General features: G+C 34.9%; 1 protein-coding gene and 1 non-coding gene across 11 annotated transcripts in view; one reads left to right on the forward strand and one right to left on the reverse strand.

The window, feature by feature from the left end:
- Positions 1–19,688, reverse strand: part of ROBO1 (roundabout guidance receptor 1) — a 1,170,760-nt gene that overhangs the window by 909,922 nt on the left and 241,150 nt on the right. The window lies entirely within an intron of this gene.
- On the forward strand, positions 727–809 carry MIR3923 (microRNA 3923). Its single transcript, NR_037488.1, has one exon. It is a non-coding gene; the product is annotated as a microRNA 3923 (primary transcript).

Genomic DNA, 19,688 nt, shown 5'->3' on the forward strand with positions numbered 1-19,688 from the left:
GAGAGTGAGGAGCATGATGATGTACAAAACAAGAACTACATCCCTTGTGACCTAATAGGACAGCTACGAAGAGGGTTCTTTGATAAAAATGTAGACCACAAATAAATGCCTACCAAGGTGTCTACACACTCTGAGAACAACTCTATGTGAGTCCCCGGTATACACAAACTATCGGGACCATTAGAAATAAATGGGGGCAGGGGTTTTTGTTCACTGACTTTCCTCTCTATTGAAATAGCTGAAGAGCAGTACTGCAACTTACTACAACAAAAGGCCATATCAAGAGGATGCAAATTTTTTGTGGAGGTTCTTCAGAGCCTTTCAGTAATCTTTCCAAGCATGCTTTCCTTTGTTTTGGGAATGAGAAGTGTAGAAGAGGTTTTTGGTGGTCCTTCTATGCACTTTGCCATTTTATTGTATTGTTCATCATAAAGAATAATTGATCTCTTAATTTTCTAATTTTGCAAGTCTGTGTATATCCACATTTTACTTGGAAACAACATGGGTGTGTTTCTGTGGTATATGCTGGCGGTGTCATGGACTCACCAGGCTTTAATTTTTCTTCACAATATAACATTTAGCAACATTCAGGAAGGTATCCATGATTTTGTGGGCTGAATGGTCCCTTCAAAATTCATATGTTGAAGTCCTAATATTCGGAACCTCAGAATATTACTGTGTTTGGGTATCAGGTGTTGAAAGAGATAATTAGGCTAATATAAGTCTGGTAGAGTGAGCTCTAATCCAATATTACTAGCTTCTTTATAAGAAGAGGAAACTAGTAATGTTGGATTAGGGCTCACTCTACTATTCTCAGCAAAATATCAGCAAAATATCACAAGGACAGGAAACCAAACAATGCATGTTCTCATTCATAAGTGGGAGTTGAACGATGAGAACACATGGACACAGGGAGGGGAACATCACACACTGGGGCCTGTTGGGGGGTGGGGAGCTTGGGGAGGAATAGCATTAGGACAAATACCTAATGTAAATGACGAGTTGATGGGTACAGCAAACCAACGTGGCACATGTACACCTATGTAACAAACCTGCACGTTGTGCACATGTACCCTAGAACTTAAAGTATAATAATAAAAATCAAAAAGAAGAGGAGATTAGGACAGAGGCAAACACAAAAGGAAGACCATGTGAAAACCCATGGAAGAAGATAGCTATCTACAAACCAAACAGTGAGGCCAGAGAAGAAACCAATCCTGCCTAAACGTTGATCTCAAACTTCTAGCCTCGAAAATTGTAAGAAAACAAATTTCTTTGGCTTAAAACCCTCAATCTGTGGTGCTTTGTTATGGCAGACCTAGCAAACTAATACACTCAGTAACAAAGATCTTTGAACTACCATTGCTCAATAGAATGCAAGCAATTTCATTAACACTTTTTTATTGCTTAAATAAAAGCAATTTCCACCAAAAACCTTATGGCTTTTCATTCCCCCAAAAAGGAATTCTCAGAAATTACGTTTGATTAAAATTTGTGTTAGTATTGTAAAACAGAATGCAGGATCTGGCATCCGTTTTCTAATTATCTCTGAGAAAAAATCAAAAATATAAATGAAGCAATTAGAGTCTGCTCATCAAAATAAGTGACCTTCTTCTATTTAGCATGGGTTTTGTTGGAGGCTGGTCAAGTTAATTACACATTATTCTCTTATTCTGTAGACAAACATTTATAATATGTGGGCTTTATTGGCATATAATTGTTTAGTTTACTTTTCTTAGAATCATGTATTTCATTTAAGATACAATCTGACAAAACAAAGTATAAGTCTTATAGAAATAACACAGTTGAAAAGAATTCATAGTTGAAGACAAGATTAGCTTTTTTTCAAGGTATAGGATAAGCATATTTGATGACACATTAGTAAGTCCTTAGCAAAAACAATTTTTATAATGTAGGAGCACATAGTTAATTTATTGCAAAAAGATAAAACACTATTTTTGGGCAGGGATATAATTTCCAACATGGATTCAGATCTATTATGTACCTAAAGGAATCACCTAGACTTGTCTTTTTCCTGTGAAAAAAACAACATATTCTGGGATTATAGCTGGTTCTACTTTATTATTTTTTTTTTCTGGAAGGCAGCCAAATTTCAGTGCTTAGCAATATTTATGGCGGAATTAAATCACATTTGCTGTAGTTTAAACACCTCTCTTTTTAATGTTCCTGCTTATGCTCATTTTAAAATGTTTACCTCAAACTTAAAGACTGTATCCTGTCTAAAAAAGCTGCTGGGATATGGGGTTAGGTATTCAGAGAAATTGGGGAAATTCAGAACATCATTATTTTAAAACTTCATCCCCTGCATTGTCACATTCTATAATTCTAGGAACAGTCTTGAATTTATCATTTTAAAAATATTTCCGCCTTAATACATGTGTCAATGTGTAGCTAAATATTCATTTGTGTGTTCATTTGATTGAATTTTATCTTCCTTATATATATTACCAAATCATGCATATTTCTGTTTAACATTACCCCGCACTTAACACAAGCTGGATGTGTGACAAGCACTCAATACATCTTGGTTTCTGAAAGGTACTGCAGCTTCATGAATAATGTCAGACTCTTCCTTAATCTTAACCCCCCTCCATGAAACATATGAATGTGATTCTGTGAAATAATGAATAATATTTGAATATTGGATAATATTTTGATACTTCTGCTTCTTATTAATAATAAATTTTCTGATTTCCATTGTCAGGCGTACTTACCAGTGTAATATTACTCTTCCCAGTCATTAAATATTTACCATATATCAGGCATGGTGCAAAGTCTTTATCATCACATGCAACTTCTGAGATATGAACTACTATAATCACAAAAAAAAAACCAACCATTCATACAAACAAATAAATAGGAAAGGCTATTGATGCTTACAAAGAATATGTAATACTTAAGAATGTATATCTAGGAAATGGGGGCATTAAGATGATATGACATGGTTTGGCTGTGTCCCCCCACCACCAAATCTCATCTTGAATTGTAGTTACCATAATCCCCACGTCATGGGAGGCACCGGATAGGAGGTAATTGAATCATGGAGGTGCTCACCGTCCTGCTGTTCTCATGACAGTGAGTGAGTTCTCACAAGATCTGATGGTATTATGAGGGGCTTTGCCCCCTTTACTCGGCACCCATTCTCTCCATGAAGAGGTGCCTTCTGCCATGATTGTAAGTTTCCTGAGGCCTTCCCAGTTATATGGAACTGTGAGTCAATTAAACCTCTGTTCTTTGTAAATTCCCCATTCTCTGGCATTTCTTCATCGCACCATGAGAATGGACTAATATATGGTAATATATACACATCCTTGCAATCCACACCAGATTTTCATGTTGGAGTACATGGTTATTTTGAACATCCTTTCTTCTTTTTTTTTTTTTTGAAAGGGTCAAGTTGGAGGATATTTTAAACTACTTTATGATTCTAGCCATCTCATAAAATGTTGCAGTGATTAGGTCATTTTATCCTAGGGAAAAATTATCTACACTAATTTGGGAGAAAAAATATGTGTAAGGTATGAAATGTCTATGCGACAGAGAAGTCTTGAAAAAGAAATGAAAATTATACAAGTTATTCTTGGCTCAATACAAAGATTCCAAGATTTGGGGGATACTGTATTCTGACATTTTTGGATTTTAAGACCCTCATTCCAACACTTCCTAGAAAATAACATCATGTATTTACTTTGGAATTAAAATGAATTAAAATTAAATGATGCTTAGAAGTTTCTGTTGTCTCCTTGAGACACTAGGGTGCCTGAGTTCCTCAAAATCATAATTGAGATGCATGATTTTCAATCAAAGCATTTAACAAATCTGCACATTTTTTTAATTTCACAAATTTGTGTTATGTGCCCACTATATATCAGTGACTCTTCAAGATACTCGGGATGACCATCAGCACAACACACAAGATTTGTTAGAGCCTTCATATTATAGAGCAGAGGTAAAAGAAGAGTATAATCAAGAAAACACACAGCAGTTAATTATGATATTAGACTTCTTAATGGGCTCACAAAAACTTAAGTTAGAAATTTGGCCTAGTGTGCTGCTCACTTAGAAATAATGGACAATTAAATGATCGCAAATTTTTCAACTTCATCAGTAAATTGAAAATAAGTTTAAATACTACCCAACATTATTTTTCAGATTAAATAAGATACTCTACTCACTCAAGGAAGAAAATTTGGATTCCTTTGGATGGATATATTAGTAAATTTCTCTACTTACTTTCTACTATTCTCGAAGGATATGCATTTTCAAATAACTGGTTGTCTAATTCAGTTCTCTCTGTAATTTTCATCATCTTGTTTCCACCCATTCATACACTCAGTCTGTAGATAGGACACCTAGCTCAACAGGTTGGCCATAGAGCTTAAATATAAAAGTTTATTTAAGCTTCAATACTGGCAAATTATATCAAAATTCAACTGGCAAAGCTAGCTCAAGACCAGAGAGGTGTCAGAAGCTAGAAGGAAATCAACCTAAATGCCCATCAATGATAGACTAAGTAAAGAAAATACTGTACATAAACACCATGGAATACTATGCAGCCATAAAAAAGAACAAGATCATGTCTTTTTCAGGGACATGGATGGAGCTGGAGGCCATTATCCTTAGCAAATTAATGCAGGAACAGAAAACCAAATACTGCCTGTTCACACTTAGAAATGGGAGCTAAGTGATGAGAACACATGGACACACAGAGGGGAACAACACACACTGGGGCCTATCAGAGGGTAAAAGGTGAGAGGAGGGAGAGAATCAGGAAAAATAATTAATGGATACTGGGCTTTATACCTGGATGATGAAATAATCTGCACAACAAATCCCCATAACACGTTTACCTTTGTAACTAAAATGCACATCCTACACATGTACCCCTGAACTTAATTTAATAAAAAGAAAGAAAACTGATAGTAATGTCTACACATCGTCTGGTGCAACCCACTTTTTCAGGAAGACATTGAGGCCCAGAGAAATTAAATAATCTGTTTATATCACATAGAATTATTAAAAAGAGATAACTCGAAGTGATTCTACTTTATACGTGAATATAGCTAGCATGAGCTGAATTCCCACCAAGATTTTATTAACTATGAAAAAAGACCCAGTATTATGCTGTATTTAAAAATCAATTATAAGTCTTGTGCTATATTGAATTCACCATTTTTTTGTGATTATGCCTTACTTCTAAAATTAGAATAGCTTATCTATTTATTTTGGTTTACAATTTGCAAAGGATCTTACATACAGTAACTAATTTGGTTCTCCCAAACCTGCGAACTCGTTACGTGCTGTGCAACTAAACTTCTGCTGCTAGAATTCTTTATGCTATATCTAATTCCTTTTTACATATTCGAGTTGTTACTATTTATTGATCTTAAAAAAAGGAATAAACCAGACATATCCTAGAGATAATTTCCTTTTTCTAAACAGGAAATATTTATCACATAGACTTTAATTACCATCATCACAATAGAATAATACATTCCAAAACAAAGAATTGGCATTGCACTGAAGGAACAGAAACAAAAGATTGAGAACTTACAGGGAAAACCTGGTGTTAGACATTCAGAGATGAACAATTCTAAACATAAATAATATCATGGAAACAAAATACACAGTGTAGGATTTTAATGCAAGCCGTTGAAAAATATGAATTGCTTTTCTTCCATAATGCAGAAAGCAGATCTTCTGAGTTAAAGTGCCCATTATGCATAAAAAGAGAAACAGAAAAAGTCATGATTTAAAGGGACTGAAAGCTGCTGTTTGTATCAAGCACAATGAATCAATCCTAACCTGACCTTCACATGGAATATTTAATATCTAGCAAAGAACCTGAGGTTTGAACATCAAAATCTCATTTCAGATTACTGATCTGTGAAATTCTAGGAGACGATAGAAAACCCCATGGAAGATAACAAATAGCCAAAAGGAAATATCAGCAAACAAACCAACAGTATATTTAATGAAGTGTAGGAAGCCATTTTTAACTGTTCTGACAGATCTGTGGAACTTTCAGTCTCGTATTTTATGAGAAAACATTAATGTAATAAAATGTAATATATTCTATCATAGAAAACTAGTAGATGACTTAAAATAACTAAACTATGTAATAATACATCTATATATCTATAAATAGAAGTATGTTAATATATTTTTAAGGAGAAAAAATAATATGCTCAACCATATTTTTAAAAAGCAATCTTTATGTTCCAAGGAGCAGCAAGAGGGGAAAAAAAAACTTTCAGATGATTACCATGAACTCACACTATACCTTCAGTTACAGAAAAAGTAATTAAATTATTCTTCTCATGAAAGTTCCCTCTTTCACCTCCCCCTACACCCTAGTAAATTCACAAGACTCACTACATAACTGAGAAGTAATTCAATTTATAATGACATCTTTTATAGAGCGATTAAGTCACTTTTTGACCTACATAAGCCAAGGAGAATGTTGCCTTGTAAGAGCCAGCATTTACATTGAAGAAAAGTTAATAAAAATAACCTGAATTTGCCATGGAAAAAAAAAAATCCCATTCTTTGTGCACATAGACTATTGTGTGATTTGTTGATATGCCAACTTCATTATAACAGTGATTTTAAAGGTAATGTTATTGCTTAATCTATATGAAACTTAAAAGCAAAATTCAATACTGCTCTGGCAAAATTATATTGCTAAAATATCCCCAAGAAATGAACATTTTTATCCTTTTATTTCCAAAGTTTTAGGATAAAATAATGTTGGTATAACACAATTATATGTATGAATCACTCAGAACTTCTTCTGACTATTTTTGCTGATGACAACAACTGTGATTGAAAACCTTTTGTTCTCTAGACCGTTAGTCACCACTTCTATGATCCCAACACACTTACCCCAATGTTGGGGAGCAGCACGGCCATTAGGAAAATGAACCAGAGGATGTGGGGAACACAGAGAAAGAATAGCTTTCTAGAGGAGCAGCAGGAATAAGGCAGGTTGAAGCTGAGGACCACATTCACAGAGAAAACTCAACTATTTGTTTGGAAAGCCAGGGGAAGATTACAGAGCTTAACTTTTATTTGGGGCCTCAATTCCAAAAGGCACATTTCTCTTAGAGATCCACGTGGTGTGCGGGGGTGGAGGAGTCAAATGAATTTCTCTCATATTTTTACAGCCTGGATTGCAGTCTCTTCTTTTCAAAATACTTCTTAAAGAATGTAGATAAGGCACAATGTGATAGCACATTGGTGGACAGGATTGAACTGTTGAAAATTTCTTTTGGTCAATATCATTTTTTTTCTTTTAAAACTTAAAACCTTTGGGCTGGACACAGTCTCTGGTTCTCTGGGGTCCAATGCATTTTTAAAATAATCTGTACTGGTCCTTGTCTATATTAGGGTTTGAAGACTGTGAGTTTTTAATCCCTTTTGGAAAGTACTGGACAAGGAGTCAAGTGTTACAGTGTATTAACACTATAAACACTATTATCACCAAAAAACCTTTTAACCTATTGATGTGTATGTGTCTGTGTGTGAGTGTTTATGAAACTGTAATGTTTTCCATAAAATTGTAGCTTAATGTATACATTCAGCAAATTCAAACACAGACACTAAAATGAACACATTTAAAATAAACACTTAAGTATTATGAACTACTCATTGAACTTTTATGGAATCTAAGGAAACATGCTTTTGTTCTTAAAGTACCTTTGCTGTCTATCAAAAGAATTTCAACATTTAGAACATTTTACAAATATGGAATCACATATTTTACTGCATTTTCCCATTTTAGAGAAATGTTTCTGTGTAATTCAAATGAATGATTGGACACAATTATACTATTTTTTTTTCTTGAGTGTTTTTGGTTGCAAAAGAGGTTGGCTCTACTAAATGTAAAATTCTCCGAGCCTTGTTTGCTGATTTCCCCTTCCAAACACAGCCTGGAGAGGAGTGGCTTCATGGCTCATGGCAGCATGCATGCAGTCAACACAAGCGGCTGAAAAATAGCCCAAACCAGTGCTCATGCATTATGAAAGCCAGCAGAGCTTCCTGCACTGTTGAACAATGCTCACTGTCCTCCACCAATGAATCCAGTCCTCGGGCATTCTGAATGTTCGCCAATGCTCTGTGTTGCCTGCACATGGCAGATATAATTGCCAAAATGAATGAAGAATTTCCTATTCTTACTAGGCAGTATTCCAGATAGAAGATAAGAATAGCTTGAATAGCTGAGCTGGCATGTGAAAGGAGCTCTGCTTTTCATATAACACTTATTATAAAGATGCAAATTTCCTCTCAACCACCAACAATGTTTGTGGCTGCTGAGCAGACGTTCCTTTAACTGTTAACAATTCGTATCCTTAGTGTCTTATTTTTCCATAATATCCAATGCCATTTTGAAATGATCTAACATTATCTCAGGATTCTCTCTATATATAGATTTACAAATATTCATAAATAATATTCTCAGTGTTGTACAATTTATATGTTCAAAACACTATATCCAAGTATTTGTCCTATTCAATATTGATTTGACTGAAACCTAGGTTCGTGAACGTGAATATAGTCTTTGGGTTGAAACAACATTTTTCTTGGGTAATATCCCATAAAAAGAATCATAAAATGTTCATGCAACTTTCTAGCTAGTTGGTATGTAGTCATTTTTAAAGGTATTTGGTTGATGTGTTCACATATTCACATCTTTTGCAACTTTGCATCAGTATATTTTACTTCATGAATAAAATATATTTTACTTCATGAATAAAATATACTGGGTCATATATACTGTGCATATATAGCCTGAAATAATTACAAAGCTTTAACAAGGAAAAGGAAGTTTCTGTCCCACACTTGACTTTCAGTCTCCAAGTTTCTTTCCTCCAGTATTAACAGATCCTTCGCTTTCCTTCTAGAAATGATCAATGCATATGAAGAAAAAAAAAGGTTTCCATACCTTAAATTTTTCACTGCAACCGCTTTTGAAACCTGGCAATTGATGATTGAGTTGATAATGTGGTTTACTGTTAGTATAATTAAAATAATTCAAAAATAATTTTAAATAAAGATAACATAAGTTCTACTTGTCAGAAAGCTCAGTACTCCTTCCACTAGATCAAATGCTTTTAAAAATATACAGCCATACTCTCACTTCTTCATTCACAGCTCTCAATTTACCTATATTTATATTTTAAAAATGCATATTTTCACATTTTTGAAAAGGAAGCATATATAATTTCAAAAGAGAATAAAAAGTTATGCAGTGGAAGGTCTCCTATTCACCGCTCTTCCTCTCTACCCCAATTTTCACACAATCCTCCCTACTGCCACACTGATACACAGACTGCCATTATTTTTAGTTACTTTTTAACTTTGCCATAGTCTCTTTGTTTATACACAAACAAACATGGATATATATTCTGATTCCCTTTTTATTACACATAGTATATTATACATATTATTATGTAGTATTTAAAACTTTAATATGTAGAGATCTTTCCAAAGTTGTTTCTAAAAGCTGCATGCTATTTAATTGTATGTGTATCAGAATTAATTAAATCATTGCCTATTGATGGATATGCCAGTTGTGTTTGAGTACAAACAAACAATCTTGAATATATATTAATTCACATGTATTTGAATTTATCTACAGGATAGATTTCTAGAAATGGAAATGATTGACAAAGGTTTTTGTGCATTTTTTACAAGAAAGAAAGATAATGCACTATTGCCTTCCTGTAAGGCAATACCAATTTATACTCCCGTAAGCACATGAGAGTAGGTGTTCCCCACACTCTGGTCAAGAGGATGTGTCATCAGACAAAATGTGTCATTCCAATGAGTGATAAACTGCATCATAGTGTATTACCCTCTCTTTTTACCATACCATAAGACTCTTTCTGTTGAATTCTTTCCCTTAGTGTAAAAATCATGCGCAGTCATTCCTCACCTTAAACAAAAGAAAATATTTTCCTAACCTCCTTTCGATTACTGGTTATCACTCGTTCTCATTTTTATTGACTTCCTCACATCCTGTCACTCCTGGGTTCATTTCAATTTGACTAGTACTCCATTATGCCATAGTTAATGCTTCAAGTTACCAATAACTGAATTTCCAGCGAGTGCTTCTTGTCTGTATCTAACTTGATCTTTCTGGAACAGTCGACACTGACCATCACTCTCTCCCTGCAGAAATTTCCTTGCCGGTGGCCTTTGGGTGTGAGGAGAACTTATTTTTCCTTATTGTTCTCTAAACTCTTGGCTGGCTCTGCATCAATCTCTCTGCTAGGCTCCTTTCAGCCTATTAACCTTTAAATATTAGTAGGTCCTAGGATTTATTCTTGATTCTTTTCTTATTTTAACATTCTTTCTGGTCCACCTCCTTCATATCTGTGACTTTCAAAGTACTAATGTAATAGCACTAAATGGCTCCTAAATCTTTATCTGCAGCCCAGATCATCTTTGTTTACCCTCTGTTCTGGGTATAAGTAACATATAAAGAGAGAGGCAAGAGACTGAAAATATTCTTTTAGAATGTTCTTGTATGGCCCAAGGTAGCTAATTATAGGTGACACTTATTGAATACTTGCTGTGTGGCAGGGGCTAAAGTAATAGTTGTAGACATTTTATTACTCTACTATGAAATAAACTCTGTGGCAGTCTCATTCAAACCTTCAATTGCTGATGGATTAATGAGGGAACAATGATTGAATGAATGAATATGTGGTATTCCAAGAAATAATCATTTAATCCCTTTCAGGAAAAAATCTGGTATTATACTGACATTTTCCAGGGTGTTAGGGTTTATTGACCACGTTGGCTTGGAGAGCCATCTGGTGGTAAGAGAGCGGAAGGAATGTGTGAAGAATCCTGGAGCTTGCATTGCTGTCTGAGTGGCCTTCTAATTTACCTACAATGATTAGGGTCAGAATGATTAGGAGCTGACTAGATTTCATATAAGGTTCTACTCTTACAACCTATTTGGTTTTGAATGTACATTTCTACAAAAGTATGCTAATTTTCCTATAAGTGTATTTAGTTTATCAATAAACTAATACTCAGATATTCTGTCTCTGAGTAGATACTCAGATTTGGGAGAAAAAAATGCATAGGGTAAGGCATGTTAAGAAGAAGAAGGAGAAGGAGGAAAGGAAGGGGAAGGGAAGAAGACAAATATGATGGCCAAGCTTATCTACAACAGGAAATAGAGATGCAATGGCACATGCTGCTCCTACCAGCCTCCCTCCCTCCGTGCTTCTTTTCTTTCCCCTTCTTTCAGTTCTCTCAGGTAGTTTTAGAGTTGCTACTTCCTAAAAGGTCTAGTTTCTCAGTATATATGTGAGCAATAGCTTTAGAATTGTCCGTGAAACAACAGTAAGTTAGAAGACCTAGGAGGATTGCTTTTCAGAATTATGAATGGGGAGAAGGAGTGATAACAGAACATAAACGAAAATGTAAAGCTTTTTCTATATTATGCATAGATAATAAACATTCTCCAAATCTTTTATTATTATTATTATTATTATTTTTAGATGGAATTTTGCTCTTGTTGCCCAGGCTGGAGTGCAATGGTGCGATCTCGGCTCACTGCCTCCCGGGTTCAAGCAATTCTCCTGCCTCAGACTCCCAAGTAGCTGGGATTACAGGTGTATGTCACCACGTCTGGCTAATTCTGTATTTTTTTTTTTTTTAGTAGAGACGGGGTTTCACCATATTGGCCAAGCTGGTCTCGAACTACTGACCTCAAGTGATCCACCCGCCTCAGCCTCCCAAAGTCCTGGGATTACAGGTGTGAGCCATCACGCCTGGCCAAATGGTCTCCAAATCTTGCTGTTTCTTAACAGCATGCATTTGTCATTCATTTTACATGGTGGCCAGTTATTAATAGCTGTTAATCTGCTTTCTTCCTGAATGCTTCTCGTTCCAGAACCCAGGCTGAAGAGAAAGCCCCAATGTCTCCTCAGCCTGGATTCTGGAATGAGCTCCAAGAGCAAGAAGCATGCTATTCTTGTGGTAGAGGGAAGAGATGATAAGATCTTTAAGAAACTCTCAATGGCGCTGAAAATTTCAGCTCAGAACCCATATTGATCTTTTTCTTTCATCTTTTACTGGTCAAAGCATGTCACGTGGCCAAACCTGATATTGATGGAGACAGAAATAGTTCTCACTATAAGAAGTGTGGCCGGGCCTGGTGGCTCACGCCTGTAATCCCAACACTTTGGGAGGCCGAAACGGGTGGATCACGAGGTCAGGAGATCGAGAGCATCCTGGCCAACATGGAGAAACCCCATCTCTACTAAAATACAAAAAATTAGCCGGGCGTGGTGGCGGGCGCCTGTAGTCTCAGCTATTCGAGAGGCTGAGGCAGGAGAATGGCGTGAACCTGGGAGACAGAGGTTGCAGTGAGCCAAGATCATGCCACTGCACTCCAGCCTGGGTGACAGAGCCAGACTCCTGCTCAAAAAAAAAAAAAAAAAAAAAGAAAAGAAAAAAGAAATGTATGCTAAGTATAATATAATATGTTGTCCCAGCCAGGAGAAGGTTGAGAGTGAAAGTGTTTTTAAATAATTAAGCCAGAATAGTGGGTCTGATGTCTTCGCAAAATTAGATGCATTATCACTTTCTTACAATCCTCCTCTAGGCAAAGGTAGGCAAGTACTTGAGAAGAATAATTAAATTGATCTTAAACTTCAATTAAGAGACCTTGCAGCTGGGCACCGTGGCTCACATCTGTAATCCCAGTACTTTGGGATACTGAGACAGGAATATTGCTTGAGCCTGGGAGTTTGAGACTATTCTGGGCAATAGGAAAAGCCCCGCTGTGTAGAAAAAATTTTAAAAAAGAAAAAATCAGTTAGGAGTGGTGGCACAAGCCTGTAGTCTCAGCTACTTAGAAGGTAGGAGGATTGCTTGAGCCCAGGGGGTCGAGGCTGCAGTGAGCCCTGTTTGCACCACTGCACTGCAGCCTGGGTGACTGCAAGATTCTATCAAAAAAAAAAAAAAAAGAGAGAGAGAGAGTCTTTGTGTACCCCCAGGATGCATGCACATATGCCGAAGAAAGCAAAGTAAAACAGGCAGAAGGAAAACTAGATCGGGTGTCAGGAAGTTAGCTATTAACCTTAGGCTGTGAGATCTCTTCTAAAACACAAGTGAAGACAAATGATAAGAAATTAAGAGTAGTTCAATTCAATGATGTCCCTCATCTCAGAATGGTAAGAAAAAGGAGAGTCTAGAGTACAAATTTTCTGGCCTCAGTAGTTGACTGGTAAGCTCTGGGTCTTAAGGCATTAATGAGTATAGAACTCAGGAGATAATATGATATCCAGATTTGTTCCTTCAGCCATGGCAAATGTTTAATATTTAACACAAAGTGTTATTCAGTTATATTTCCATATGGGGAAAATTGGAGTAGTTTATGAATAAGACATATTGTGAAATTAAGATAAAGATAGAGAAACTCATATCTTATGAGACAGCTTTTTAAAAATTAGGAATGCAAACTATAACAGAGATTACACGGATGATATAAAAGTGGAATAGTAGCAAGAACTACCTGAGGGAAAAGAATTGGGGAAGTTAATTGATATTTGTATCCAACATATGATAATGAAACTAATGTCTCTTGGTTCAAAAATAGTTTTGAAACACTAACCTAGAAGCAAACCAGAGCCAAAAAAAAAAACACTTTTATTTATGAGAAAAATACTTTGAGTGAGAGATTAAAATCAATTTTTAAAAGAAATTTAAAGTATAGGACAAAACACTTGAATCAATGTAGAGACAGACAATATTTAGTGAAATTATCTAGACCACAACTCAGTGTTAAAGAGAAAATATGCATTTTAGATAGTCTGTAGACATTAGCTACTTTCATTGAATAATCTTTGAGACCCCATTCAAAGTGCAAGCCTACAGATGGTGGCTGGAACCCCTTGTGAAAGCAATCATCTCCTCTCCCCACAATTGCTCCTTTTCTGATTGGAGTGCTTAATTATACTGGTTTCCTGTCTTTAAATGTGTTCCAGGACTATAAAGATTATTTTTTCCCCATCACTTGCTTTTAACTGAAGTCAAGCAATTCAAAGAAAGCATCATCTTGCCTTAAATGTCTGACTATTTATCAAGAAAATATATACACAACTCCAATTTTCTTAGGGGTTCCTGTTTAGGAAACACAGGGATTAATTTCCTTGAGGTAGAGAATACACACTTGTTACATTATTGGTGTGATGGAAATTTGTGTTTTAACCACAAGGTGGCAGAATAAGCTAGGAGTTTCGTGCGCCCCTTCAAAAATCACTGGTTACTTCCGACATCGATCTAATTCAGATGAAAAATGCTATAATAGGTGTGTCTTCGTTAGCCTATATGCATGTGTAAGACAAGTGACTACATAAGTAACACTATCGAAAAAAGGTTAAAATGACTGAAGCCTCTTTCCTACCCTCAAGACAAATCCCACACAAAAGGTATTCTGAAGTTGATTTGTAGTGAATACTTATTTAGCTTCAAATAAACACTTTTAGCAGATGTTTTGAAAATGAAGTGGCCATATTTGTCACCACCCCCCACCCACACACACACTTCCTGCATTGTGAACCCCGAGACTTGTCCCATCCACGGTCTGCTCCTGAGATTAAGGGGAAGATGTGTGGGGAAGCACCTGGATGCTGGTTCCAGGATGCTACCTTGAATGTGCCTTGGATATCTGTGTCAGTAGAGAGAGGTGATGACCTTTCCCTCTTCTTCTATCCAACATTACATGGTTGGTTTACATAGATAGGTAAAATATATGCTTAACTGTATGCTATAATCCAAAGGAAGTAGGATTGTCATGTTAAGACAATTATTATGACTGTCAATATGGTCAAATATATGAAGTTAATAACAACAAAACAGATTCAGTATGTCATCTATTAGTATTATAATTTAGTGTATCTGTGGCTGTGCAACTCCAAAGAAATCATATTTGATAATTGTTTTGGTATAATAAATTCTGTATTTTAATAACTTACTGGTAATTGTATTGCTACAATGGAACCCAAACTTCTGAGGATTGCCTTCAAGACCCTTTGCTATCTGTTGTTTTTCTGCAATAGTCCCCTATTATTATCTAAACAGACCATGGTCTTTTATACCACTGTCTTTCCCAAGACTGTTACTTTTTTTTTTTTTTTTGGAATGTGCTCTCTGCCTCTGTTCCTGCAACTGGCAAGCTTCTATTTTTCTTTCAAGAAGTGATTGAGAGACCACCTCTCTGAAATCTATTCTTCTGAATTCTGCCTTGAAAGCAGAAGTAATCATCGCCTTGTCTGAAATCCTGGAGTCATCATTCCTGTATTCATCACTTTGATCACTGATTTCCACTTGCTTTTGTGCATTTCCATCCACCCAAGGAGAGGAACCTCATTTCATTACTTTTGTATCCTTGATACCTACTGGGGAGCTTTAAATGGAAAGGGAACTTAATAAACCCCTTTTGGAAGGAGGAAATAACACCAATAGATTCCTACGGTGCATATAGTAATGTATCGATACGTCATTATTTCTGTTTAAAGATAGCATTTATATTCAAAGATGATCGTGGTTTTAGAGTTTAAATTTAACTGATATATTTTATATTAAATTCAGAAAAAACTTCAAGTTATGTTTAATTGTAGAGCACGAACTATGTGACTATCAGTATTCAACTCCACTCATTGTCTGGGAGGTCATACCTATAAAAGGATTCAGCCTTGTAAAATTGGAACCTAAATAACATGTTTTTGAGGACTATTTCTCTTAAGGTAATTCCTTAATATTTGAATTAGACAAAGCATTTATGAAGTGCATGTTAAAGGTCTGTGTCAAGTGTGCTTTACAATCAGATGACAGTTATAATTATCTAATAAACAACAAGCTGATCTAGTTGTTTTAAAAACAAATTATCTGATCAGTATTGATGGGCTTAAAACAATAGAATCAGTTCCACCATTGTAAGAGGCTTCATAAACCACACACACACACACACACACACACACACACACAAATTAGTACATAGTGATACAGTTACACAATTCTCAATCCTTTAGTTAAAGAAACTACAACAGCATGCATATACTAAGATATCTATGTGAGGTAATGTATTTGTTAATTGGCTAGACTTAATCATTCCACATGCATATATACTTCAAAATAACAGGTTCTACATGATAAATATACACAATTTTATGCGTCAATTTTAACAAATAAATTTGAAAAAAAAATTGTTCACCAAAAAAGCCCACAAAAAATAGACTTTGCATTTTTCTTTCTTTTTTTTTTCTTTTTTTTTTTTTTTTTGAGAAGGAGTTTTGCTCTTGTTGTCCAGGCTTGAGTGCAGTGGCACACTCTCAGCTTACTGCAACCTCCGCCTCCTGGATTCAAGCTATTCTTCTGCCTCAGCCTCCCAAGTAGCTGGGATTACAGGCGCCCGCCACCACACCCAGCTAATTTTTTCTATTTTTAGTAGAGACGGGGTTTCACCATGTTGGTCAGGCTGGTCTTCAACTCCTGACTTCAGATGATCCACTCGCCTTGGCCTCCCAAAGTGCTGGGATTACAGGCATGAGCCACTGCGCTCGGCCTAGACTTTGCATTTTTCATGCAAAATGCATCTAAAAGAGAGACTACCAAGAAAATGATAGAACACTGATTTTGTGCAAACAGAAAATTATTCAGTATTGTTTCAGAATTATGTAGTAGACATGACTGCCCAGAAGAATTATGATTTTCATAAGCTTATGACTGTATTTATGGATATGTGGTGTGCTTATTTTAGATTTTGGGGGTGGAATTTATCATTATGAGAAAGTAATCTACCTCATGAACGGCATCAACTACTTGCATGAAAAAACATTTTGATGTTATGAAGGAAGATATACCTAAAGACGCATAATGGGATAGGAGTTTGGGACCAGCATAAAGAGTCTTCGTTAGAGAAAGTTCAAATGCTCCCACTATTCTCCTTCATTTGAAGTAAGTGTGTGTGTGTGTGTGTGACAGAGACAGAGACAGAGAGAACCCACTATTTAGAAATTTTTAATAATATAAATAAAATTATAATCATTAAATTTGAACTGTAAACATCATAGAATTTTAAAATTCCATTTAGACAGCATAGCATAAAATTTAATACTGTAAATATATAAAAATCTAAACCATCTCAAATGAGCCTTTCTTTAATTTTTGGTAAGCCTTAGATTAAGCATACCTAGAAAGAGTTAGTGATAGTTTCTACTTGAATCAGATAAAATACTATCATAAAATTGAAAAATCTGAATTTTTATATATGTATGTGCATATGTCTACAATTTGTTAAAGGTTAATTCTTTTCTATATTATACTTGATAAACATAATTATTCAAGTAACAATTCCAAGGGGCTTTCAGATTTTTAAAGCTAAGTATTGCATTTGTCTAAACAACTCCAAACTTATATTAACTGTGAAACAAAGAGAAGAAACTGGATTCTAAAGTAAACCATATTTAAATGAATTGATCAATGTATGTTTGTTTGTATCTCCCATGCCAGACTTGAATGGTCTTCAAAAACAGAGAAAATGACGTTCATATTGTATCATAATGCTTGATCATAAAGGTTGTATATTTCTAATTTTAATTGAATTGAAACAAAATTTGTTCCTCCAATGACAACAAGTTAGAAAGCTTTATTATTTCTCTGGTCCTAGAAATAAAATAGTTGAAAATTATATGTGTGTGTGTGTTTTTGTATACATATAAATATATACATAGACATACATATACATATATATAGAGAGAGAAACAGAGAGCCACAAAGACTAAGAGAAAAAGAGAAGTTTCAGACATATCTATTAAATACTTGGAAACCTGTCATAAAAATTCTCAAACTTGGAACAGTATACTTTCTTATGTTATATTCTCCCTTCCATTCCAATTTCTTTAATGAAAAAGATCCACATTATCACATTATTCTGTTTATCAAACAAAAAAATTGGAGAAAGCTATAATAAATGTAGAAATAGTTTATTAAAATGTCTACTAGAATAAGGTTATGGTTAATTTTTTAGTCTTATTACACTATATGTATAATGTCTGTATAATTACATATATATTTAATTATGTAATACATATATCTAATATATGTAAAATGGTTCTAATAAAATATTAAAATAATTTTTAAAACACTCATTGTACTGATTGTTATTGAAAATATTATGAGAAATAATAACAATTTCCAGCTCCTACCATACCAATATGATATTAATCTCTTATGTATGTTTTATGACAATTTTCTATGTGGATAATTTTATTTTACATGTATATTTTATCCATAATTTAAACATTTATTTTTTCATCAATTTATACTTCAGATATATATATATATATAAATATATATATATTTTTTTTGGTATGTGTTTAGTGTCTTTAGAACTTTACACTTTTTTTTTTTTTTTGAGGTGGAATCTCGCTCTGTCGCCCAGGCTGGAGTGCAGTGGTGTGATCTCGGCTCACTGCAACCTCCGCTTCCCGGGTTCAAGCAATTCTCCTGCCTCAGCCTCCTGAGTGGCTGGGATTACAGGCATGTGCCATCACACCCGGCTAAATTTTGTATTTTTAGTAGAGACGGAGTTTCGCCATATGTTGTTCAGGCTGGGTCTTGAACTCCTGATCTCCTCGTGTTCCGCCTGCCTCAGCCTCCCAAAGTGCTGGGATTACAGGCATGAGCCTCAGCGCCTGACCCCAAAACTCTACACTTATTTAAGGCTCTAATTATCTAAGTTAATTTTCTCTCTTAAAGATAAGAGTATGCAACTAATAATAAAATTGCCTTCAGATGTTTTGCATTAGACCCAATGAAATCTTAGAGATAATTTCCAAAGTACATTCATTAAAATTCAAGTCCCTTAGACAATTTCAAATGCCAGAAACTTAAACAGGGTAGCTAGTCTTATCTTCTCATAGGAAGAATTTATGTAATTGCAAAATGTTTTAAAGTATTTTGAATCTTATTGTTTCCTTAAGTAAAAAGAAATTATGAAATGTTTAAAGTTAACATTTTGCTCGTATATGTGTTGCAGAATGAAACTAACAAAATTGGAAATAAATATTCTTTATAGATTTTGCTACTGAGCAATAGGGCACAGGGAAAAGTTCGACATGGGTTCTAAAATCTGTCTCTGTTACTAGTTTTGTTACCACATGACAAGTACTTACATTAGGTAACAGATAGAGCTATGTCCTGAATTGAGTGCAATTATTCTTACCTTGTAGGGATTGTTAGCTTCAAAAAGAGTATGAGTAAATAAACAGCACAGTGCTTACCACAGAGCAAATATTTTTTTAAATGGCACCATGCATCATACATTTTCTGTGACCTGAATACATACGTCATTTGACTTCCATAATTCTGTGAAGAAACAAAAGTTCAGAGAGAATGGCTTATTTACATCTTGTAAAGGTGGATATAGGCTTTGAATCCAAGAATTTGTGAAGTTCACATCACTAACTTCTCTACAATTCATGAGAACTGAATTTTTGTCTAAGTATTCACTGATCCAGTGACTTAGCTTTTTCGACTTTTAAGGGCTTTAATTTGTAAAGCAGTAAGACTAAATTCTATAATCTTTTTGCAATTATGATTCTAAGAGACAAATAAATTTAGAAGATAAATAAAATCAG

The sequence above is a fragment of the Homo sapiens genome, chromosome 3, assembly GCF_000001405.40.
Source record: "Homo sapiens chromosome 3, GRCh38.p14 Primary Assembly".
NCBI classification, from domain to species: domain Eukaryota; kingdom Metazoa; phylum Chordata; class Mammalia; order Primates; family Hominidae; genus Homo; species Homo sapiens.